The 24862-nt window shown below is 35.7% G+C and overlaps 1 protein-coding gene and 1 long non-coding RNA gene across 8 annotated transcripts in view, besides 3 other annotated features; one reads left to right on the top strand and one right to left on the bottom strand.

Moving 5' to 3' along the window:
- AHR (aryl hydrocarbon receptor) overlaps positions 1 to 18780 on the bottom strand; it is a 47496-nt gene extending 28716 nt beyond the window's left edge. Inside the window, exons 1-2 of the mRNA NM_001621.5 lie at positions 18103 to 18780; positions 7309 to 7496 (exon numbers count right to left, since the gene is read on the bottom strand). Of these exons, the coding sequence (NP_001612.1) occupies positions 7309 to 7496; positions 18103 to 18167 (253 nt within the window). The 5' untranslated portion in view covers positions 18168 to 18780. The remainder of the gene's footprint in view (positions 1 to 7308; positions 7497 to 18102) is intronic.
- Positions 18106 to 18155: a silencer, noted in NCBI's record as "silent region_17985". NCBI's record gives its function as "represses an Ori minimal core promoter by ATAC-STARR-seq in GM12878 lymphoblastoid cells {active_cell/tissue: GM12878}" and the evidence as "EXISTENCE:reporter gene assay evidence [ECO:0000049][PMID:35858748]".
- The window catches only part of LOC101927609 (uncharacterized), a 164409-nt gene continuing 157658 nt past the window's right edge, over positions 18112 to 24862 (top strand). For 6 of the 7 annotated variants that reach the window (XR_007060235.1, XR_007060232.1, XR_007060231.1 and 3 more), the window contains exons 1-2: positions 18969 to 19080; positions 22159 to 22266. This is a non-coding gene — a long non-coding RNA (uncharacterized LOC101927609). Of the gene's footprint in view, positions 18373 to 18968; positions 19081 to 22158; positions 22267 to 24862 lie in introns of those variants that run through there. The other variant, XR_007060234.1, reaches the window with a different exon arrangement.
- Positions 18196 to 18305: a silencer, noted in NCBI's record as "silent region_17984". NCBI's record gives its function as "represses an Ori minimal core promoter by ATAC-STARR-seq in GM12878 lymphoblastoid cells {active_cell/tissue: GM12878}" and the evidence as "EXISTENCE:reporter gene assay evidence [ECO:0000049][PMID:35858748]".
- Positions 18356 to 18505: a silencer, noted in NCBI's record as "silent region_17983". NCBI's record gives its function as "represses an Ori minimal core promoter by ATAC-STARR-seq in GM12878 lymphoblastoid cells {active_cell/tissue: GM12878}" and the evidence as "EXISTENCE:reporter gene assay evidence [ECO:0000049][PMID:35858748]".

The raw sequence follows: 24862 nt of genomic DNA, 5'->3' as shown, positions 1-24862 counted from the left end.
GCGCAATAACAGAAAATTTGACATGTATCCCAATAAAGCAAGTAGCATACAATGCCCAAAATTTCTATCCTCACCAAAGCAAGCTATCACACTTTTCCAAGTGTCCAGATTTGGAATATGTGCCACTTTCGATAAAAGAAAACAGTATATGTAAGTAAATTATTATGTATTATATCAAAAGGGGAAAAACAGTTTATTAACAAATTTCCATCTCTAAATAAAAAATATGAAATTAATTAAACAAAGGGATTCTCAATTGATATTAATACCAGGTCCGTAAAGGCCCTTATGCATATTCAAAAAAAAAAAAAAAAACAAAATTCTCCACTAAAACAAGTGAAATATCAGGATTCTGCAGGAAATAACTATGATTTCCATAACAGTAACAATTTTAATTATAAAAATTTTTCACAGATCTCTCATTTTTAGAATTTACTACAAACCTAATATATCAGGGCAAGCAAGCATCTTTATCAAACATGCTGAGAAGATGAAGACCCTGTGGAACAGTGAGGTTAAAGTCTATCAAAAAACACAAGATTCGTTAACTGAACTAGCATCCACAGCTCCTGCTGTCAGTGCTTTAATCACAAAACACAACCTCCCTCTACCATGCTGAGATAAAGAGATGAAATGTCTCCATAACACAGAAATTAGACACGATAAAAAAAAATCCAGCTGACAACAGAATGCTCTGTAAATATGACAATTGTATGAGAAAATTTCAGGCTAGAAAATACATGAAGAATTCAGTAGGTACAATTCATTAAGGTTCTTTATGTCAACCAATCCCATCAGACTACTTGTCTCCGTCTTTTGTGTGTGTGTGAAACAGTCTCACTCCTGAAGTTCAGTGGCACGATCATGGCTCAATGCAGCCTTGACATCCTGGGCTCAAGATATCTTCCCACCTCAGTGTCACGAATAACTGGGATACAGAAGTACACCACCAAGCCCAGCTAATTTTTTATTTTGTATGGAGACGAGGTCTCACTACGTTGTCCTGGCTGGTCTCGAACTCCTGCTTTCAAGCAGTCCTCCTGCTTTGGCTTCTCAAAATGCTGGGATTACAGGCATGAGCCACAGAGCCCAGACATTTGTCTCCCTCTTAATCTCCCACTGCTAACAACTGAATGGCTTTTTGGCCTCTATGGACAAACAAGGAACAGAAATCACCTTCTCTAGTGTTATTATTTTTCTGTACACACTTTCATTGCATTTCAGTTTACACTTTCATTTCATTTCAGTTTACACTTTCATTTCATTTCAGTTTTCACTTTCATGTACAGTTTTCTCTCTGGCTCTCCAATTTAAGAACACATCAAATGAAAGTATCTTAAGTCAACTCTATCACCTTAGCATACTTTCATACTCCACAGATTTCACTTTTTACTACCCCTGCTCATCCTTAAAACATCTTATCTTTGGTACTTTTCCTCTTATTCTACATGTTCTCCCCCTGGAATATTTTATTCACTTTAATGGCTTAAAATGTTATTCTGACGATAAAATGACTCTAAAATCTAAATCTCCAGCCATAAGCAAATAAACGAATTTGAGTTACTCATTAAAATTCATTGATTGAAAAGTCAAAAGGCTGTAAGAGCAAGATTTAAAAATAATATACAAATATTACCAAATAAAAATTTCTTCAGATTTTAATATAATTAATATTATATATGAATATGTTTTATAAAACACTATAACATGAAGGTGTACATTTCCATTAACCAGATCACAAACCCTCACGAAATATCTTAAGACTTAACTACAGATTTTTAAATGTCTGTATTTGAAAATTTTCTAAAAAAGGAAAATTGCTGAAAGTTGGTGATTTTAATGTTAGCCCACGGTAGTCTCCCTAAAAAGAAAAAAAATGATGACTAATGACCTGTTCATGGCCAAATAAGCAAGGATTCTAGAACCATGCAAGACTAGGTAATGATCAAAGAGAAATCCATTAAATCAGTAAATTTAAAAGAGACAGGAAAGCAGCAAAATACATAATATATGATACAATGAGTTTAGATTGTTTGAATCTCAGATATTTGTCACTGTGTTCTTCAAAATAGTTGTCAAAGCAAACAAAAGCAGAGATAAAAGTATCCTATATAAAGTTCTATCATATTAATTTATTCATATAATCTAATAAATCTTATACTGTAAATTGGGATATCTGAGGAAAAGAGAGATTAAATTCCTGAACCAAAGAGGTCACAATATTAAATATGAGAGCCAGGATTTGTATATTCATTCAATAAGAATGCGCTACTATTCTTTGTATTTATTCATGTTTAAATCTGCAGGGGTTCCATAAATTAAAATTTTAAAAGAACCTAGGTTTATATAGTTTTAGCTATGAAAGTTATCATGAATATTGTAATTAGAGTTTCATGTTTTAAAATGTGAATTAGGAAAAAAGATAACAGTTAAATCACCATTTAAGATGGATAATGCCATGGGTAAATCAAATTCAACAAATACTTTATTTGGTGATTTCAAATGTGCTAAACTGTTATGCAAACAAACCTACTTTGGATAGTCCTAGAATTAAGAAATAACATTTGCTATGATACTATCATACTGAAACTTTGGTAAATTACTTGACACACAGAAATTTTAAAATTACAACAAAGCAGATGAAATTATAGAATTCTCATGAATGAAAAAGCAGACATACAAATCTATTAGATTTTATAAAACATCAACACTTAGAAGTGCATTACTTCATTTTTACTGCTTGTTCAAGCTTGTTCTTTGCATATACACATGTACGTATACTTGTTTTTCAAGAATAATGTTCTGATCTAGAGAGATACCAAAACAACTGAAATTCAGAGAAATGCACAAGCTGAAGATGAATAAACACAATAGCTCTCTTTGGAAAACCTAATGAACTGGGAATGAACTGTTAAAGCATCTGCAAAAGGAAGACCAAGAACAGAGCACTTGTAATTTTTAATTTAAAATAAAGTCAAGAAAGATCCATGATAAACAATGGGGTCAAATAAATGTTAGATCATCACATAATATAACTATTATCCTCTCTTCCCACAGCATTTTTAGGCTTAATGAATGAAAATATTTTAACATGTAAATAATTCTACATTTTATAAAATGGTGATTATTTTAAGCATGTATAATGATTCAAGACTTAGATTTTCCCTAACATTACCTTGTTTTAAAAATAACTAGAATACTACTATTCCCTATGACAGCTGCAAATGCAAGACTTTGAAATCAGAAACTCGGATCCCTAAGCTCCATTTTGTCAGGCTCATTAGGTGTTTGTATGTAAACAGAAAACAAAAGTAGTCATTCCCGAATTCTCAATTTTGGGGCAGCTGTATAAAAACAGAATAATTTGAACAAAATATTTACATAATAATGGGCATTTCAAAAAATAGTAAGGAAATCTCATTAAAAATTGTATTAAAGATATGCTGAAATTAGGAATGAAACATTACAATGCTGATTAGATTGATCAACAAGCCCAGTGTACACTGTTTAACAATTTTGAGAGACATGATATAGGAGGAAACAATCCTTTCTCTTCACATCAACCAGTTTCAAAGATTAGATTGTAACCACCCAAATCCTAGTCTCTATTAATAAACTATTATTGATTGTAACCATTGTTATTTAAATTTTTAAAATACCCTCCATCTCAGAGATAATATATTTAAATGTAATGCTTAAATCATGTCAAAGAAACTATTTTCGACTTTATAACTGAAAAATTGCTAAGCCTTGTTCAAGTATTTTAAAGTTATATTTCAATATGTTTTAATTAATTAGAAATGGATAAATATTAATGTAGTACTTAAAACTTTATAGTGTTGCTTTTCAGACAGCAGCAGCAGTATAGTCATGGTTCCAAACTTTAAGAAGATCCATCCAAGTTGGATTATTTAAACTTGCAATAAATAGATGTATTTTCTTGGAAAAATATCTATTGTTACAGTAAAACTTGAGTTTCCTTTCTAACAAGATTGTATGATTACTCGTTTATATTGTTCTTTCCGCAGGAATTTACACACCCCCTGTTTGCATCCTGTTATTCACTTTGAGCTTCCCTTCGCTTCGCTATACTGTTTCCCTAATAGTGGAAGAGTGGGTCCAACTGCACACAAAAATCCTAATCATTGTTAGCATGTTTCAAATCTCTTCGTTTGCATCTACCATTTTTTCAGTTCATAAGGGTCACCCTTATAATTTCATTCTCTGTGTGCTCTGAAATGTTGCATTGCCTTTCCAGACCACTGGTAGTCTGGAGGAAATTTGGGGATTAAAAAAAAAACCTTATTATTTTCATTTTCCATCTAACTGTATGTTTCTGTATCAAACAATCTAAGAAACTGCTTAGGCTGAATGTACACCACTATAACACAAGCAAAAATATTCATAGACTTCTTTAAATTTTGTATGTTTGCATTTGTCATTCTGAAGGCAAAGAAACAAAAATTAACTTGTTCAGGGCATAATCAAGGCTAGGCTAAATCACTGCCTCAGACTCCGTAACATGCTTGTTAAAATACTGATTCTTGGGTTTTACACAGAACTTCCTTGTTATCAGCAGGGGCATGCCTCCAAATTTGCATTTTAAAAAGCTTTCTAGGTAATTCTTATGCACAATGCAGTTTGAAAAGAATCTAACGTTAAAGATAATGATAATGTAGTTGATGAAGGAATCATGCAAATAGGTAATAAGATCCTACTGTCAAATACACTGAACCAGAATAAAAAACAGACAAACTCATTAATGAAGAGCTGAGAAAAAAGTTTTTAACAATTCCGTGATGAACCCTGTGTTAAACTATGACATGCTTTATAAGATAGACTGTGAGATCTCCTTTACTTGAAGCACTGAATAATAGGACACTTATCTAATCATGTATGTGTCTGTGTGTATACATACATGAACACACATACACACATAATGTAGACATTAAATATAGAAATATATCTGTTTATATATGTGTGTTTCACACACATTTATATGTATCTGTCTAGATACACACATATGTACTACTTCTAAACAGAGGAAAAACCTATACTTTTTTTTTCTTTTTAACATATATAATTTGATTCCCCATTACAAAGGAACAAGAAATGGAAAGGTAAAATGACTCAAGTCAATAAAGCTTTATCAGAGTCAGAGAATAATGCCTCCTTGGCTTCTAGACTCCAGAATCTCTAAGGGTGGCAACCACGTCTTACACATCACAGAATCTGCCACCACATGGTCAAGCACTAAGCACAGCATGTGAGTAAATGCTAGGGATCAGGACAGCATTCCGTGACGCTGGGAGGAGGCCTGAAGTTACAATCTACAGCAGTGGCTCCTAAACTTCAATATGCATCTAGCCCTATCACCAAAGGTCCCACCACCTTAGATTCCACAGGTCTAGGGTTGGACCCAATAATTTGCATTTCTAGCAAGTTCCCAGGTGATGCTGATGCTGCCTGTCTGGATACTACACTTTTAAGAACCACAGGTCTAGGAAAAAATCCTCAGTGCTTTCCTATGCGAAGGTTCCCAGAAAAAAGTAGGTATTATTTGGTCAGGAAAAACAATATAAGGAATCTAGAAACCTGAGTTCTAGTTCCAACTATGTCAGCTAAATGACTATAGCTAATACACACATACTTACAGACCATCACTGAATACTGCGTAACTCTTCTCCCAAGATGAAGGGTTTGGTATAGAGGCAACTGAAAATTCAAACACTTTTTATATAGGTCAGAGAAAATTTGTGTACTATGAAACTTTGAAATATATAATCTTTCCTGAAATCACTATCCTCAAATCTGTATATTGCCCAGACCACAACTGTTAAACTAAATAGCTTTTGTCCAAAAGAAAGACGGGAGAGCAAGCAAGCAAATCAATAAAAAGATGCTCAGACGAAACACATCAGATTATGTAAACATAAATCTAAAGGGAAATTAACTGTTGCAATATTCTAAACACAAATTACCAGTCAAATATCCATAAACGTGTTGTCTAGGCACTTCCTAGTGACCTAGACCAGCAGGATCAGCATCATCTCGGAGCTTGTTAGACATGCAAAATCTAGGGACACACCTAAAGCTACTGAACAAGAATCTGCATCTTAACAAGATCCCTATGTGATTTGTAAGCACATTAATGTATGAGAAGCATTGACTGACATAGCCCACTGAGATTTTATCATTAACTTGCTATGGTTAGTAAAATTATATGATATTTTAAAAAGACCATTTCCTTAAAAAATCTATTTCTGCCTTATAGACAGATAAAAGATAAATCAAAAATTAATTTTACATGAGAAAATACACTGAAACATCATTTGCAAACAAAAACTTCCATTGCAATTTAAAGGTAACAAATATCATCCAGCTGCCTAGCTCAAAACCCCAACCTTTACTGCTGAGAAAACTGAGATACGGGGATGCTACCTGGTTTGGTTAATGACAAACAGTTTTCAGTGACACAATAGAGAATGAAATCAAATTCTATTGACTCTTACAATCAAATGTTCTTTCTAGTGAAAAACATGTTTTAATTATATTTCTTGCAGTCGGTATACAATTAATGTAAAATATTAGAAATAGGCCAGGCGCAGTGGCTCATGCCTGTAATCCCAGCACTTTGGGAGGCTGAGACGGGCAGATCACCTGAGGTCAGGAGTTTGAGAGCAGCCTGGCCAATATAGTGAAACCCCATCTCTAATAAAAATACAAAAAATTAGCTGGGCGTGGTGGTGGGCGCCTATAATCCCAGCTACTTGGGAGGCTGAAGCAGGAGAATCGCTTGAACCCGGGAGTCAGAGGTTGCAGTGAGCCAAGATCGTGTCATTGCACTCGAGCCTGGGCAACAAGAGCAAAAGTCTGCCTCAAAAAAAAAAAAAAAGATTAGAAATATACGTAAGTTTGGAGGGATAAATAAAATGACATGTCTATGAAAACACAGAAAATCCAGCAAGATGGTGTTTTATCTTTTCTTTTTTTTTAAAAAAGACTTTTAAATATTGAAGTAGAAGGGAAACTGGAATTTGACATAATCAATTTGAGTGTAACTTCTAAATATATGATTTTCAAAGAATGATACCATGCATCATTTCAGTGGCTGCATCTGTTGGGTGAATAAAACTGGAAAATTGATTTTAAGACTTATAAATCTGGCTTTGCCACTGAAATTTTACTATACAGCAATAAATTTTCCAAATACGGCTAATTTTTGTAGTTATTAACACAGAAACAGCTATATCTAGTACAAGTATTTTTTATACGTTATTGTAGACAAATTAAACCCTTCTGTCTTACCATCAAAGAAGCTCTTGGCTCTCAGGTAACTGACGCTGAGCCTAAGAACTGAAAGTTTGTCCAACTTATTAATAACATCTTGTGGGAAAGGCAGCAGGCTAGCCAAACGGTCCAACTCTGTATTAAGTCGGTCTCTATGCCGCTTGGAAGGATTTGACTTGATTCCTTCAGCTGGGATTGGCTTTACTCTGAAAAACAAACAAAATACCATAAAAAATCCTTTAAAAAATATAAAGCAAAAATTTCTATTGCATTATAACATCTCCTCAAATATTTCTCTAACACAACAAACTTTTAAAGTCTACTTAAAGTTTACGTAAGTCTTTCTAAAATCTTCCTTTCACATCTTAAGAAAAACAGGGAATGGGTTAAATTCTTCCGAATATTTCATTAAAAAGCTTATGAACTCATCATAGGAAAATGTTTGCTTATACTTCAAGCATTTGTAGCACAGTGATTCCCAATTAACAGATCTACTGGGATTTTTTTCCCCTCTCAAATGCATTAGCCATTGTTTGGTGGAAAATTAAAAAGAGAAATTTGTGATAAATTATATGAAAATCATACTTCCTTTGCTATCTTCCACAGGAAGCATCTCAGCATCATTGACGTTGTCAATAAACAAGGACAACCCTAAATAAAGTATTTATCTTCATATCACCAGCTTTCTGTATTTATTTACTTTCAACTCATTAGAGATAATGTCCCAAAGCCCCTCTGACACCTGCAGATGGTCCTCCAGCCATCTAATGTGGTCCTCAAATATTAAAAGAAGAATAAATTTGACTTTTGCTATTTACATTTCTTGTTGGCAAATATTAGAGGTTAATGGTGATTACCAGCAACTTTTGCTTTTACATGTAGACAATAATTATACTTAATTATTAGCTTTCGTAGCTTGTGTCTCAATTAGAAAGTTCAACGGAACCCTAAACAATTTAGCATGATTTTCACCTGAGAATAAAGACACTTATGGGTCAAAGAGGAACATGAGTTCAGAAAAGAAAAGTTGAATAACTTCACACAAAGACCCCAGCCAGGATTTCACAGCAGACATTAATCACTTAAAGTGAATTTAAAAATCATCAGATACCCACGCTGAACTGGGAAACTAAAGTAATTTATACCTTATACCTCTATACCTTCCTGTTAGCCAGAAGAGTAATTATCTAGCGTTTTCTTACAACAAAGACATTTTTGACAATTCAAATGGAATTATATCAGCTTTTGTAAAGTAGAAATTGGCCTGGGCATAGTGCTATTAATATGACCCAATCAAAACATTTCTAGATAATTTCTTTTCAGTGATGTATGTGGAGAAGTAATACTTTAGGCAGAAAGAAGATGAAAAGTAAATACTTCTACAAAAAAGGTAATACATCGGTAAAATGATGTGTGTGTGTGTGTGTGTGTGTGTGTGTGTTTATGTATGTATCAACAGATACCTTCTCCAGGTTGTCTGTACAACTGTGTATATAATAGAAATTGGTGATGGTTCCCCTAGCTATTTTCCCCTAATCATATTGCATTTATAAACAAATTTCAAGTCACACCTAATTACTTCACTTCTCCACTTAACCAACTGAATTTCAAACTTTACCTATAATGCTTGTCTACCTCATTGTGTAATTCTCTACTGGTTAATTAATAACTTGCTGACAAGTATTTATTTATATCCATCACATCCTGTACAGCCCAGGTAAACACTTTTCTCCTAACTATTCAAAAAGTGTTATGGGAGCTAAGCAGAAGCAGCAACTGCTTGAAAAAAGATTTTACAGAAAAGGTGGTATCTGAGATGGATCTTGAGTGAGGGACAGGATTTCATGAAGAGGCATAACTAAGGATTAGTGAACTGTAAGAATTCCCCCACATGAAGGGAGAGGCACAGGGTGAAAGAGAGAAAAGAAGAAGGATGGTTGGGGCCACATTCTTTCAACAAATGCTGAACACCTATCAAGTGCCCAGCACAGAACACTTACAGGTAAACAAAATATACAAAAGCTCCTGTTGTCATGGAGCTTACATCCTAGGTGGAGGATGGAGAAATAAACAAATAAACATATAACTTTTAGGGCGGTGAGTGCTAAGAAGAAAAATAAAGCAAGGTAAGAAACTAAGGGGTGACAGACGTGATGCTGGTTTGGACAGCCTAGGAAGGTCTCTCTGATGTGATGTTTCAGGACAGACATGAGTAAAATGAAGTGAGCTATGTGGGTGTCTGATGCAAAAATGTTCAAGATAGAGGAGACAGCAAAGTAACGATAGAAATCGGACTTAGGCATCTGTTCTTAAGTGTTGAGCTGAGATTTACAAGATCAGCCTGTGTTTCACCAAGCTGACTCTGGTGATAGAGTATACAGAAAGCAGGGCAGGGTTCGCTGAAGTTAGGATTCCGGGATGCCAGGAACTTCTTTCTAAAACATAAATCTGACTGTGTCACTCCTCTGATTAAACTCCTTCAGTAGCTCTGAACTGTCCATGTTCCTTAGCTTAGCACACAAAATCCTTCATGATCTTTCTAGCTTCATTTACCCCTCTGGCTTCATTTCTTCTATTGAAGCCGCTTTTGTCTATTCTACCCCAGAGCTAAGAAATTACTTACAGTTACAACATGTGGTTTAGTGCTTTCATACAACCTCCTTGTTATGTCCCATTGGTTTCAAGTCCCCGCTCAAGTAGATCACTTTCATGAAGTCCTCCCTGACCTACCTCACAATGGATTAGCAACTCTGCCCCATTTGACTTCTTATACAAATGTCTAATATAATGATTCCATTAAGGAATATTCCATACAAACAACTTCACAGAAATAGAAAGTGTGTACACAATCCAGTCCTGCACTCTTGGTGGCTTTCCAGTAATGATTATGAAACACTGGAGAGAAGAGAGTGACACAAACGCTGAAACAAGGCAACATGCTATGACACAGGGAGAACTAATAGTAACATAAAGGTATCCCTCCATGTGGTACTGCTGCCTGTCTTGTGCTGGCTCTTTGCAATATTCAGCCTCACACTAGATTCTGAGGCTTGCTTTTCATAATGCAAAATTGTCTACATTTCTAATGCATTACTATGTGTCTTACAAAATATTTAACATGAGAGCAAATTTCCATTGTCAAGTAACATAATTGCTTATACTTGTTTGCCTAACACCCTTATTTCTATGTAAGCTTAAATCATTTTTGTATCCTTAATGCCCAGCATAATAGAGTGGATTCTCAATTAATGTTTGCTGACCAAAAGTGCCAAGAAAAGGAATGATCACAACCTGACCAAAGGCAGTGACAGTGAGGTTAAGAAAGGACTGGCTTGAAGAGAGATTTAAGCCAGACTCAAATGTTCACTGAACTAAACTAACTCACTATAGGAAGTAAGGAAGAGGAAACCATTGAGTGAGGAGAGGTTGCAAATGGTTCTGCGATTTGTAGCTCAGAAGAACAACTACATTTCCTAATGAGAGCTGTACCAGAAAAGGAAAAAAGTGGCTTGAGGATAGACCTCAGTAATACCAACATTTAGGTATAGGGCTATGGAAGAGGCATAGACACAGAGAAGAAATGATAGACGGAAAAAAACCAGGGTAGAATATTTTGGAGGTCATAGAAGAAAGTCAAATACACAGAGGAAGAAAGTCAAATACACAGAGGAATTAAGGTCAGGGCTAAGAAGTACCCTCAGAACTTAACAATTCAGATGTACTGGATTTGAAGCTTTTAAAATGTCAGATTGTTAAAGCTAACAAAGGTAATGCATTTGACCCACTTTTTCACTGATTTTGTGAGAAATGTACAGATTTTGTTAAAATATTTAATATCTATCCATACATCTTGAAGATATACAGAACAATTAAAAATAGAGTAATCTTACATTAACTGCACTTGACTTGGATTACGCTAATATTTTTACTTTTGTATTGTCTTCGAATCTTTAAGAAAGGACACTGCTAACCATTATTTAAGGAAAAGCCTGTTTGAAATATAAATAAACATCCCTGTAAGATTGGATTTGGGAGCTCTGGAGTTCAAACATCTCCTGAAATAGACCGTATGATGTTGGTCAGGCAAAGGAGTAACTTATTATTTTTTGAAACCTTTACCTCAAAAATCTTGTCCCAATCTGTAAAATTGTTATGAAATCAAGACTCCAGCTGACTGCATGCCATGCTTCTGTTTAGAAGCCCTGCAAGCTTTAACTGCTGGTGGTAACAGGCCCAACAGTATGCCCAATGCCAGTCTGAATGCTATCTTGAAAGCCTTTTTAACATCTCCATCAAAAAAGTCTATGAGGTTCATCATTTGTAGCCAGTGTTTGAAGCAAAGCTGAAAAAATTAACCAAGTTTACTCATAAATATAACTGTTTTATATAATATTCATTATAAAACCTCAAAATGACATGCAAAGATATGGTTTCAGTAATCCTATGAGATCAAAGTGACGTTTTTTAACAAGAGATTGCCTCTCACAGTACTGAGTTTGCTCTATCGGATTTTTCCTCGGGGTGATTTAATCTACTCTTACTGCGTTGGTCTACTTACCCATAACTTGTTTATCTTTATTTCCAGTCCCTGTACCTGACCCTGTGCCCTTCCATTCAACATTCCCCTGGAGTTGGGCACCCGCTTCTCAGCACTATGGTGCTACTCTCCATCTAACAGCTAGGAAATCTGAAGTATTCCTCAATAAAATCCCCCTACCATACTACCTACACCCAATAAAGCCCAACTCTTAACCCCATTCATTCTTCATTTCCTTCCCCCAGCTTCAGTGCATCCGTATTTATCTCTGAATATAAATTTCAAATATTTACAATCATAAACTATGTGCTTAATGTAATGGAGGTGACACATAGCACAAATAGACCCCAACTTCATTGTCAGGCTGAACACAGCTGGATATTTTATTTCCCTATATGAGTCAAAAACATCTACAAAAACTTCTGAGAATTCTGGCTGGAAGCCACTTTTAATGAGTCAGAAGTCTTCTGCCACCCTCCTGCTGCTGCCCTATAATTGTGATGAGTTCTTTCCTTTCCCTTTTGTTTGCTATACCTGAGGAGAGATGATGAGATATAAACAGCATAGTTTCTAGCACAAGACATTAGCAGGGAAGATCAGGAAAATGAAATATGGCCTAGAAACCACTACTAGTTCCATAATCCTGGAAAACTCATTGTTTCCCCTCCCCCTTCTTCTACGCAAACACACATTTTTATTCCCCCTCGAACCCGCATAAAATGTATCTGCCTTACCAGAATCACTAAAACATTACCAAAAAAATTTTAAGTGGTAGTTAATTGTTAAATTAGTACATCTCAAATATGTACTAAGTGCATGGTACTGTACTGGGAAGCTCTGGTAGTTTCAAAGACAAATAATAGTCCTATCTTTAAAGACATTCTTTTTCCTACTAGGAGGAAATATATTTTATAACATGGCAAAATCAAGCATAATATATTGCTCAGTAACACAGGTGCTGCAAAAGAGTTCATGGAGATGTGGCATCTAAATCGGGTCTTAAATACAGGCAAGACACTTCTGTTTCTGTGACGGCAGAATATCTAGCTTTCTGCAACTACCCTTCTCTTCCAGAAAACCACACCAAAACAAGAAAAGCAGGAGCCAGAAACACAAACTCTGTCTCCGATGAACCTAAGTGACAGCTAAACCCAGATGCTAATAAACAGGAAGATGGTAGAAAAGAAATCAATAATAGCATAGAACAGGAAGGCAAATATAATCACAGTATATTACTTAGCTAAACAGTAAACAATATACAGTCAAAAATAATACAACACTAATGTGTATATAATCCAAAATTGTGATAAAATATATTGGGAGGATGCAGGAAGGTGAAAAAGGTTAAAGTGAGACAAGACAGCACTAAAATCCCTAACTACCACAGTAAGACATCAAAAGATAAGGCCTCACATGCTATACTTAAGATGTGCCACATATATAATTGACTTTTAAAATCTGCCAGTATTATTTAATAGGAATACATTTTAAAACAATATTTCAATAGAAAGAAGTAAAAAGAACAAACTAAAAGATGACTGAAAAATGTAAGACAAAACAAATGAATACGTAAAGGACACCCTAAGTAGAAAATCTGCAAATACAAGTGCTTCTCCTATACATAACCATGATCCCAACATATAACTTTAATTACCAACCACACTTTTGCCTATGAAATTGACAATAATATTTTTTAAGCAAAAATGCAAAGATATAGTCACATCCCCAGATTGATGATGGAATGTAATTAGTAAATTTTTCTTAATTTGATACTATCTCTTGGAGTGTACGATTTGGTTCAACCTTAAAACAACACATACTTTTCTATCCCAAAATTCCCTTACAGGAATTTTTTCCTAAAAAAATAAATTTGCATTAAAATTTACACGTCCCAAGGGTATTCTCTGAAATATTAAAGTATTAAATGGTTGGGAATAAAATTTCCTCCCAAAAGAAAAACAGTTAAAAAAATTATAGAATATTAGTACAACAGAGTATTATGCAGCCTTTAAAAACAATGTTTTAAAGAGGAAGGGAGGTGGGTAGCAAATCAATAAGACAGGAGAAAAGACTCTAAGAGGAAAGGACGTAAAAACACAAGTATGGGGATGAGCAAGTACAAATTATGTATGGGAAATGACAAATAATTTATTTCAGCCATAACACTATCTGAGAAGAAACAGTGAAAATCCCTAGGATATGGCTGTACTGTATGCATCACTGAATCTGTTCACCTGGACAGTACGAACACAAGTCAGTAAGAACACAAGCTTTGAAGCAAAAAGACCTGGGATCCAATATCCAAACTCTTTCTCATTATCTGAGCAACTCTGAATTTGAATCTCAGTTCCCTATCTATAAACTTAAATAATACTACCTTTCTTTAGTACTATTATAAAAATGAAGAAAATGATGTAAAGAACTGGGCAAGCTTGTATCAGAATAAGTGCTAATAAACAGTCATCTTTTGTCATATTAAGCCACTAGCAAAATATCAATTTTAAAAGAAGCATAAAAGTAGAAAGGTACTGTTGTAAAAGATTTGTATGGTATTTATTTCTAAGTAACTGTCTTAATTAAATACATGAGTAAGCACGTACTATGTAAATTTATTCACCAGTGAAGTAGCACATTTCAGCCGTAGCCGTAATTGAGAACATAATCGTATACTGCCTCTTACTGTTTCACGGGCGAATTGATTGTTCTGTGATAATGTAAGCTAAAAGAATAGAATTTACGTTTCTGTTTCATTTGTATCTTTAGCAGTCTTCACAGTTTATATATATATATATATTTTTTTTTTGTTCTGTTTTAGTTGTGAGAGTAGCAGTACAGGTGCTGACTGTCGTGCTTTATTGGTCAAGAAACTTGCCCAGATCTGTAACAGTGAAGAAACTAGACCTCATTTTTTAGTTTAGATCCAGTGCTTTCAATTTATACCTGTTTCCTCTTTTTGCCATTTAATGTTACCTATAACTAAACACTTTCACTTACTTCATTTCATAGTTCTAATAAGCAAGTGTCCATAACTACTATGTATATGCTATCTAAAGCTATTGGAAAGAAAAATGATGGAGAAATAATTGTGTAAATGAAAAGACCCATTCTTTTATTTTAGATGCTATTTTAAAAATGGCACCATAAATTTATAGAAAACATTTAATGAGTATTATGTAAGTAATACAATTCAGTATTACATATATGAAATTCATGACATTTAAAAAGAATAGCAAGACAATGCTTTTATATTATTAATATGTTAATAAAAGTAAAAGTTTTTATCAGTATGCATTTTAAAGAAAGATCAGCTAAGGCTCAGAAGTGACTTCCAGTTCTGACACTTCATAATGGCTTAATCACCACTACAGCTGGTATCATTTTAAAGTGTAGATCCCCTTTTCTCAACACCTATTATTTGCCAACATTCAGTGCTAACTTTCTATGTACAGGTAAGCTGAAATCCATTACAACTTTTTCTTTATGATTAAAACCTTAAAAATACAAAAATATATACAAAATTATCACTAGGGAAAAACATTCTATTTAATTATATAATGGCCTTTTTGACTATCTTCATGAGACAAAATAAATAAACACTTTCATTTCCAAAGAGAATAAAATAAACACAGGATTTGTTCTCTTTTTCTGAGTAGGGTCACTAAGTATGGGGCAACAGTCTAAGCAAAGTTATAGTAGATTCTATAATGAAAGTTATCTTTGATATTTTCTTCTTGAAGGTAGGAACATGAATTGGACGTAAAGTTGCTTCAGAGCCTTTAATTTCCCAACCTTCATTACTCCAAAAAGAAAGGAAATATTTATTGAGAGTCTACTATGTTGGAGATACTTCAGTGGGATTAAATTGAACACATTTAAAATGTATTTCCTACTAATAAAGATAATTTTCAATGTGAGAGCCGCCACTAGGGGGGGTTGATTTTTCTTAATAAATTCAACTCAAGATTGAAAGAGCTTCAGGTTACAATTGTCACCTACTTTACTCCAAAATTTTATGGAATACTTATATTCCATAAAATTTATATTTAATTGGCTGTCTTTTTAAACAGTCCTATAATAATGCTACAGCATATTTTATCTGTAAATAAAATAAAATGGCTCTCATTTAAGAGGTCAAAGTTAAGTAGGTCTGGATAGCATTTTCAGCTCAAAACAAGATCTATTTTCCCCAATGTTGGCATGTTTTGGGGCTCATTAGGCCACAAACTGGTAGTTTAATTTTAAAACTCAAATTTAATACTAGGTTTAATGACTTCATTTCTAAAATAAACTTTGATTAACTGCATTATAAAGTTAACAATTTTTCATTCAGGTAAAAATAATTTATATAAACACTTTCACTTGATAATGAAAATGCCAGCACTAGCCTATTCTTACAGAGCAAGCTGGTAATATTTAAGGCATCTGTATGATTAGAAGCAATATACGGTGCTCAGCAGAGATCTGATAAACATCTATGCTAACAAAATGTGGGTGAATGGAAAAAATACTTTTGTTATATTATAAGAAATTAATACAAGTATATTAAAAACTAAGTAAGTATAATATTAGGATAATCTAATAAAAAGTACATTTTACGCAAAATAACCAAAATCCATAAATGTTAAACTGTGTAATGAATACAAAATTATGGCATTTGTTTTTGTTTACAAAGCCATCCAGGTCCTTTGATAACACCCTAACTGAAACCCAGTATCTTAAAAACACATCAGGGAGATCTTCATGTTTTCTCACCATACACATAAAACCCATGACACCCCTATTATATATGATGCTAAGTGTATTATTATATTAATAAACACATAGAACAGACATTTGGGATGCCTCCCAACTTTAACCATCAATGACAATGTCAAATAAGACAAACATACTTTAATATAAGAAACCATTCTACAAAATTAAAAGTATTAATAACCGATGTCTCAAACTGCCAAGGTAGAAAACTGCTGGTTTGACAATATTCCCTTAAGACACACTGTACCATAAAACTTCCAAATTTTCATCAGTCTATTTATAGATTATTATCCTCTGTTAATGCCAATTCATAAGTATACTTCTGAAGAACTATGATAACTGAAATTCTGAAAGGAAACTAAAATTTTAGAATGAAACTTTAAACCAATAACTGGTTTTAAATGTAAATCTTAAAGTGTTATTTTTCTGGTTCCCATTAGTGATAGTTGGAGTCTAAGCAAAATGCACACTTCTGATTTGGTCTGAGAAGACGTTTAAGAGTTCTTAAAATTGTTTACGAAAACTTGAAACACATGTAGGTAAAGTAACTCAGAGATCTAGAAATAAAAAAATTGGAATAAACACATGAATACAACCACCTCACAACAGGAAATGTTTTGAGCACGGATAGTTTTTTCTGACACACACAAAAAATTGGCCATCTCACACAAATATTCCACCAAAATCAACCGACAACGACAAAAGCAAGTTTGTACTCACTCAACTAGAAGAAAACTTTGAAGGGGAAAAGAATTAGAGGTAGATGTTAAGAATGAAAACCTCTCTCAAATGCAGTTCTAAATCTTTTATTTTACAGACCCTAAAGCCACCCCAAAAGTGATAAGCAAGCTTCCGAAAAAGATGTCTGAAGAATACAAATCCTCCACCGTATCCTGTCCGTTGCATCCACTCCCACCTGCTACCACTTCTATCCACTTTACCGATATGGTCACGATGAGCGCTACAAAATTGCTGCCAAATAAGTAAATATGAGCGCAACACAAAGCCAGTTGGTGGGGACCAAAAAGTACCTTTAGAGGCACTCAGCCCCTTCGTAAAAGTCAGCATGTGTTTAGCTCTTTAAAACATCTCGCCTTACCAAACTCTACGAAGAATGAGAATTAAGACCGTCCTCTAACCTAACCCATGCGGATATGAAAAGTGGAAGGAGATTTCAAGACAGGTTTATACTAACTAATCCATTAGCCCAAGGCAGATCAGAGCTGTCAACAAATCAGGACCAAATCAGAAAGAACAAAGTTGCAAATGTGAGAGGGTGTGTATGCACTGGTGCGGGGGAAGAGGATGGGTGGGAGGACAATTTTTAAAATGCAATCATTGAAAACGGGAGAATCCAAGTCCTCTGTCTCCCAGCCGGCCTCCAAACCTCGATTCCACGGGCAGTGCCGGGAATGGACCTAATCCCAGGATCGCAGGGATTTGGGGGCGGGGTGGGGCTGCCTCCCGCACCCGCGTGCCTGAGCGCCCAGCCCCCGCGATGAGGACGCGCTCGGGACACTCACGTTTTCTGCACCGGCTTCCGCCGCTTGCGACTGGCGTAGGTGATGTTGGCGCTGCTGCTGTTCATGGTGCCCAGCCGACGGCGGCGGCTACTCCCCGGGCACTGGCGGCCGGGTCCCCGGAACCCGGTGTAGGCTGGGACCACTGCGGCGGCCGGCGCCGGGTTCCGCGAAGCCGCGCCCGCTCCACCTGCGTCCTCTCGGGACAGTGGCGTGGGCGCCGCGCCTCAACGCCTCGGCTCACGCAGGCTTCCGCAGCCCGCGCCAGTACAGGTGAGCTGCCTGGGCCTGGCGCAGTGAGGGTGGGCGAGGGGCGGAGACCCGCGAGCAAGGCGGCGCAGGTGCCGTCTACACCGGCGGAGGCGGCGCGGCAATGCCCGCAGGTGAGGCGGCCCGGGCGGAGGAGGAGCCTGGGCCGTCTATTTAGAATCCTGGCCTGGGTCGCTCACGGTGGCGCCGCGCCCCGTGACCGTCGCCGCGGCCCCTTGGGTGAGGGAGGTGCCGCCGCGCTGCTCCCGGGACTTCCTAAATCCAGGGTGCTTCCCGCCTGCGGAGCTCGGGCGCGGGCCACCAGTCCCGGCTGCTCCCAGCTTCCGTTCGGCTACACGGCTGCCCCTGTTCTGAGCTGGCGGTCCGGGGCACGCTCTCGGAACAGAGCGTCGACGGGACTCCCCAGCCACTGCCTCCCGCCGCCGCGCGCACCGGCTGAATAGCAGGAGCACCCCCGACCCCTCACCGGCCCCGCCCCGCCCAGATCCCGCGTAGCCCCGCCCCGTCCTGCTTGCCCCCGCCCATCTGGATTCCATTCCGTCTTCCTTGAGGGCCCCACCCTCATCCCGGCACGTGATGACGTAGGACGTAAGGACGCCCCCCCCCGCCGGTAGCCATCTTCGTGCATAGGCAAACTTATTGTAGCTAGACTGTACAAAGTATATCAAGATATGCCAAATATTGAGCTTAACTTCACCTGTTTGAGAGACGGTGGGTCAGCTAACTTGTGGCTAAGAATTACAATTAACTGGTAGACAACTGGTAGACAACCAATGGGACTGTATATTTTCCTAGTTGGGAAGGCTTCAGAAGGCCAGATTTGAGTTGAGACTTGAAGGCTAGGAGTTTCCTTGACCTTTTTTGGTGTGCGGGGGAAGTCTTTACAATAGACAGGAATATAGATAATAAGGGGACTATTATGTATTGTGTCATGGAGGACCATGTGGAAAAATATTGGGAGTAATTAACAATATTGAATACTGTTGAGAAATTCAAATTAGTTGAGAACTGAAAATGTCATTCTTGTTTTCTCAATGTGTAGTCACTGATGACTTTCGTGAATGCAGTGTTGGGGTAATGGGCCTGCAAATAACATTGAAGTGGGTACAGGATTGAGCTGAAGATAACAAAATGGCATCCTCAAGCAGGCAATTTTTCTTCCAAGTTTAGCTGTGGATGAGAGACACATCAGATTGTATGTAGGGGGAGTGAAGGGTTAAATGAGGGTTTTCTAGTTTTGGTTTAGTTCTTTAATGGGCGATACTGAGCGGCTTAGAGGGGGTAGAGATAAACTATGTAGGGAACCTGAGGGAAGAGTGAAGGAATGATAGATATTAAGATACCGAAAGCAGGAGGGAATGAGTGCCAAAGCATAAATGGGAGATTAGGACTAATAGATTAGATACTAACAGAAACAGCACTTACAGTGCTTTGCTATTCAGAGTACTCCACAGCTTCTTTTGAGAGTTACAGGAAATGCAGACTCTTTGGGTGTCCTTATTAAATCAGAACCCGAAGTTCACAGGAACTCCCAGGTGATTCAAATGTACATAAAGTTGGAGGAGCAGTTCTCTACCATAGCTGGAGGAAAGAAGGACAGTGGGTGAGATATAGTAGGCTACTAAATTTTGGATCAGAAAAATGAAGGAGATGTAACAAAGAGGGTATTCTAGCATGAGCTACAAAAGAACAATTGTGTTTTGTGGTCGATGATCTTTGTTTTAATTTTAGAAGAGCATAAAGTGAAAGTGATCTGGGAAGTGACAACAAGGAAGTAGATGGACATCCACCCTGTATCCTGTGATAAGAGAAAATAATTAGGCAGTATTGGGGAGACCTTTAGGAAAGTGATAGCCTCAGTAAGCCACCTTTCAGTTTAAGGAAAAAGATGGAGCAAATTCCCAAAGAAGACAGTGTACACTGGGAAAGTTTGATGTTTATGAATTAGCAATTGCAGAGGCAGAATCAACCATCTCTATTTTTCCCTTCTCTTTCATTTCTTCATTTATCTGTGCTTACTTATAGCCATTCTATCTAAAACGTGTAAGTGTAAAAGAATAATTTCCTCCTAGCTAGGAACTTTAAGGGTGAAAAATTTATATCAAAACATAATTTATTGATTCTGTAGCTTATAACTCCTCTTCATAAAAGAGATGTACTAAATGCAATGAACCAATCTTAATTTAGTGATTTAAAAAAATCCTACCCTTTTTAAGGTTGTTGGCTATTTGGTGCAGTCATTTTCTACCTTATTTTGACTTTCATACCCTTATTTTTTTATGGTTAAGTTTAGGATTATTTTCATTATCCAGAAGTCATATGCTATATTATGTTACATAGTCTTAGTTAAGTAACAGATCTTTGCATAATTAAGATTAAAATTGAATATCAACAAAATTCCCAGAATTCATTTTATTTTAATAGTGACATGAACTTACCTTAACAGTTTTGCTGGCATGTGAATACAGTATAGTGTAGTGCCATTTTTAAAAAATGAGCTGCCATTATCTAGAAACTTCCTGTATTGGCACTGTGGAACATGGTTCTCAAAGTATGGTTTGTGTCCATCTGCTAAGATTTAAAAACTTTTTTGTGAGCAGTTTTTTTTTTTGTAGTTACGTGATTTTTATCTCATAATAATTAATTTGGCTATAAGAGTCGGTGAACATTTGATTACCTTATCCAAAGAACATCCTTTTAATCAATTGGGTTGAGCTTAGTTTCTGAGGTTTCAGATGCAGCTGTATGTGTATGGGTTTCTTTCTCCTGCGAAATAGTATGAGAAAAATGTTTTAGGAATGCTATTATAAATATCAGCTGTTCTTGAATAAAGGAAAATAATCAAAATGAATGCTAAACCTATTCTATCACAGTTCATTTCACTAAGCAAGATTTTAGCCCCTATAATATACCAGACACTGTGGGTTACAGTAGTGATATCAGACATGTTCTTTCCTCTTAGAGCTTACATTCTAATGAGAGAGACAAGAATTAACCAGATAGTTACACAAATGAATGTATAATTACAACTGGGACAAGTACTGTGAAATGAATACTGTGAGAATGTATAATAGGTGGATTTAACTTGGTAAGGGTAACTTGGTAACCTCCCTGAGGGAGCTTGAGCTGAGTTTTGAGGCATAGGTAGGCATTTTATAGGTAGGCATAGGTAGGCATTTTATAGGTGACCTGGGGAGGAAGGGGAATTTCATGCAGACTGAACATGTATCACTTTTTAATCTCCTCTTCAATTCTGCAGCTCCTTACTTCAGGCCCTCAGAATTGTCTTTTACAGTTTACAACACACATTGTAGCTATATGAAGTATTTTACAGAGGGTAGTCCATGCTTCCTAAACTATGTACTGAGGCACCCCAGGAGCACCACAACAAACTCACAGGGGCACTATCATGGGATATTTTAAATTTTCAAGGCCAACACAGTGACATCAGTTGGACACCGTGCAAACCACTATCTTGAGGTAGTTCAGAACTTCTACACATTAAATTGTACTTCATTCCTTTTGACATCGTATCTTTGTGAGGCTGTGTTTTTGTAAATTGCTGTAATAAAACACAAGGACTATGGGAAAATTACTGTAGAACAGGAATGAGGGTAGCGGTTTCCAAGTTTATTCCTAAGTTTGAGAAGTTATGAAGTGCCCAACAGATGTGCACATCCCATTAAGAATAAAAAATGTTAATGTATATTATTTTTTAAATAGCTACTAAGTTGTTAGGATAGACAAACATAAGTTTGGGTTTAACTGTTTAATAAATGGAACTGTTAGGTGTTTCTTTTAGCTTGCAACACCATGAAAAAATTACTGAGACACTAGGAATGCTGTGAACTGAGAAAGTTTGGGACCTTTGGCATAACTAAATCCTTCATTTAACAGGTGAGAAACTTCAGGCCCAGAGAGATCAAGTGCCCTGCTAATCATAGCCTAGAATCTGGGTCTTGTGACTTCTGCCCCAGTCTAAAATGTATAACTTATCTGACTTTGAACTGTTCTGATTCATTTATTAAAAATAATCAGTTTACACATTGCTTGCTTTTACTCCTAACACTGAAGAACAGACATAGACATCTAAGGGCTGTTTCTAAATGCTTAATGTCTTCTTTACTTGCTTGGATACAACAATGTCATAGAAGCCACAGAGAAGTAATTAATAGATAATGCTAATCTTAATTCTGACAAAGAAACTACAAGATAGGAATAATTTGTTATTAGTCAAAATTATTTTTATTCACTTATGGATAATGCTTTGTTGCAAGAAACATTTAGGTTTTTAACACATGAAAGTACATTATTAAAATGTTAACATGCAGTAAGTTTGGATTTCGATTTCTTTCTTTCCGGACTTTTAATTCTTACGAATTTGAAGTTTGATTATGGGGAAAGTTATAAAAAAGTTTTATGTTTCACATGCTAAGATTCATGTCTAATTTATTAAACATTTTATTAAAATATATATGTATAAATATCATTTTTACTAAAATCCATTTAACTTTGGAGATAAATATATTTGAAAACTACATAATACATACTTTCTGCATTTTAAATCATGATATAGAAGAAACTGAAATTAAGATAAAATACATTTATTTAACAAAGAAAATTATTAACTTGATAAGAACAGCTTAAGGAAATGTAAATTATTGTAAAATGCTGACCTAAAATATATAATTTAGATTTGCTAAACTTTAAAAGGCTATCATTCTTATTCATATTAAGAAACAAAATGTATTCTTTACTGAAAATATTTAACAAATTTAATTAATGTGTGGACAGTGGTTCTCAACATTTGTTGCATATTGTAGTCACTTGAGAACTGTAAAAATTACGGATCCTTGGCTCCACTACAAAAATTTTTATTTAATTTATCTATGTTGTGTCCTGGAATCGGGATTTTACAGGTGATAGAGGTATTGTGGTTATATACCTCTATCACCTGTAGAGGTATATACCTCTAGAATAAAGAGAAGATCCTTATTCTCAGGAAATGCATGCTGCAACATTCATATATATATATGTATATATATATATATATATATACACACATATATATATATACACATATATACATATATATATATACATATATACATATATATATACACACACATACACATATACACAATTATGAAAGGTATACAAACATTTGTGGTATTCTTTCAACTTTGCCATATGTTGAAAAATTGCACAATAAAAACAAAAAATAAGTGCAAAAATAAATAGCCATGTACTTTCAAGTTAAAAAATTGAGAGACAAAATATCTGAAGCCTGATAATTGTTTCCATGGGAGGTCAGGACAGATACATATTAGGCACCCAGCTTTTACGTAAGATAAAGCTTTAGACCTTGCTCTAAATCTTGATATTACAGGAAACAGATGGAAGATAAATTTTAAAAGATTCAAAGTTTCTGCACTTCTCCATTTTGAAAACAAAGTTAGAATCCCAAATCTCCATTGTATGGCCTCCGTGGGCTGAAGAATATGTGTAGTTAGTTGTGCATTACAAGAATTTAGCTGATTTATACTAACCACAAATTATTCATTTTGCTGTATTCACCAGTTATTTATACTAAAATGCTAATAGTTTCTAATACCTTACGAATACCTTTTTGCTTGTTCTTATGCATTTGAAATTTCTCCTTTATCTACTTTCCTGTATATAATCACTGACTTTTCTGAGACTTTATAATGTATCAGTAGACAGGATTTATGTCTATAAGGCTTACATGCTAAAATAATAGTTTAAAAAAAAAAGTCTGGAACAAATGTTAACTTGTACTGCAAGTTAAAGCTTTTCACTTTAATGCTATGCAAAACAGCTGCATAAGTAATATTTTTAGGACCCTCCTCACTCAGACCCCATACCAAGCATCAGAAATACCTGCCATTACCTAATCGGTAAGTTGATGAAGGAGATCTGGTTACATAATTAATCAAGGGGATATAGCTGAGGGTGGAGTGTCCTGTAAAACAGAATGTTCTCCACCCTTCCCTCCTAAAGCAAGCTGTAGGAATTTTCCTTGTAAAACTTTAAACTTTAGTTGAGTGGCCTTCCTGCCTGAATGTAGATGGAGCTCCCATCTGTCTTCACAGAGGCGAGGGCTTCTGATGAAAATGAGTAGGAAGGATTCGATGTATTCCCAGATCTTGGACAGATCTCTTACATTCTTTTAATCCTTGCGTTAGGTTGAATTCATTCTGGTTATCTGAGCCTTTAAATAAATTACATAAAGCAAATATGTTTCAGAGAAAAGCATGTGAATCGAATAATTATTTTGGGATACATTGGTATTTAAAGAAATACCAAGTAGATTATAATGTAAACAATCCCTATCTAAACTCTTCAGAAACCAGGGTTTTCAAATATTCATTACATATTTGTGTTGTATTTTTCCATATTATTTACTTATTTAAACACATTTTGTGAGTGGTCATATTTATGCCAGTTTTTTGTATAATTCTTTGAAGCAAAT

This window comes from Homo sapiens, chromosome 7 (genome assembly GCF_000001405.40).
Source record: "Homo sapiens chromosome 7, GRCh38.p14 Primary Assembly".
In the NCBI taxonomy this organism is placed as follows: Eukaryota; Metazoa; Chordata; class Mammalia; order Primates; family Hominidae; genus Homo; species Homo sapiens.
Note: the sequence above shows the minus strand (reverse complement) of the source record. Positions and strands in the feature narration are given on the sequence as shown.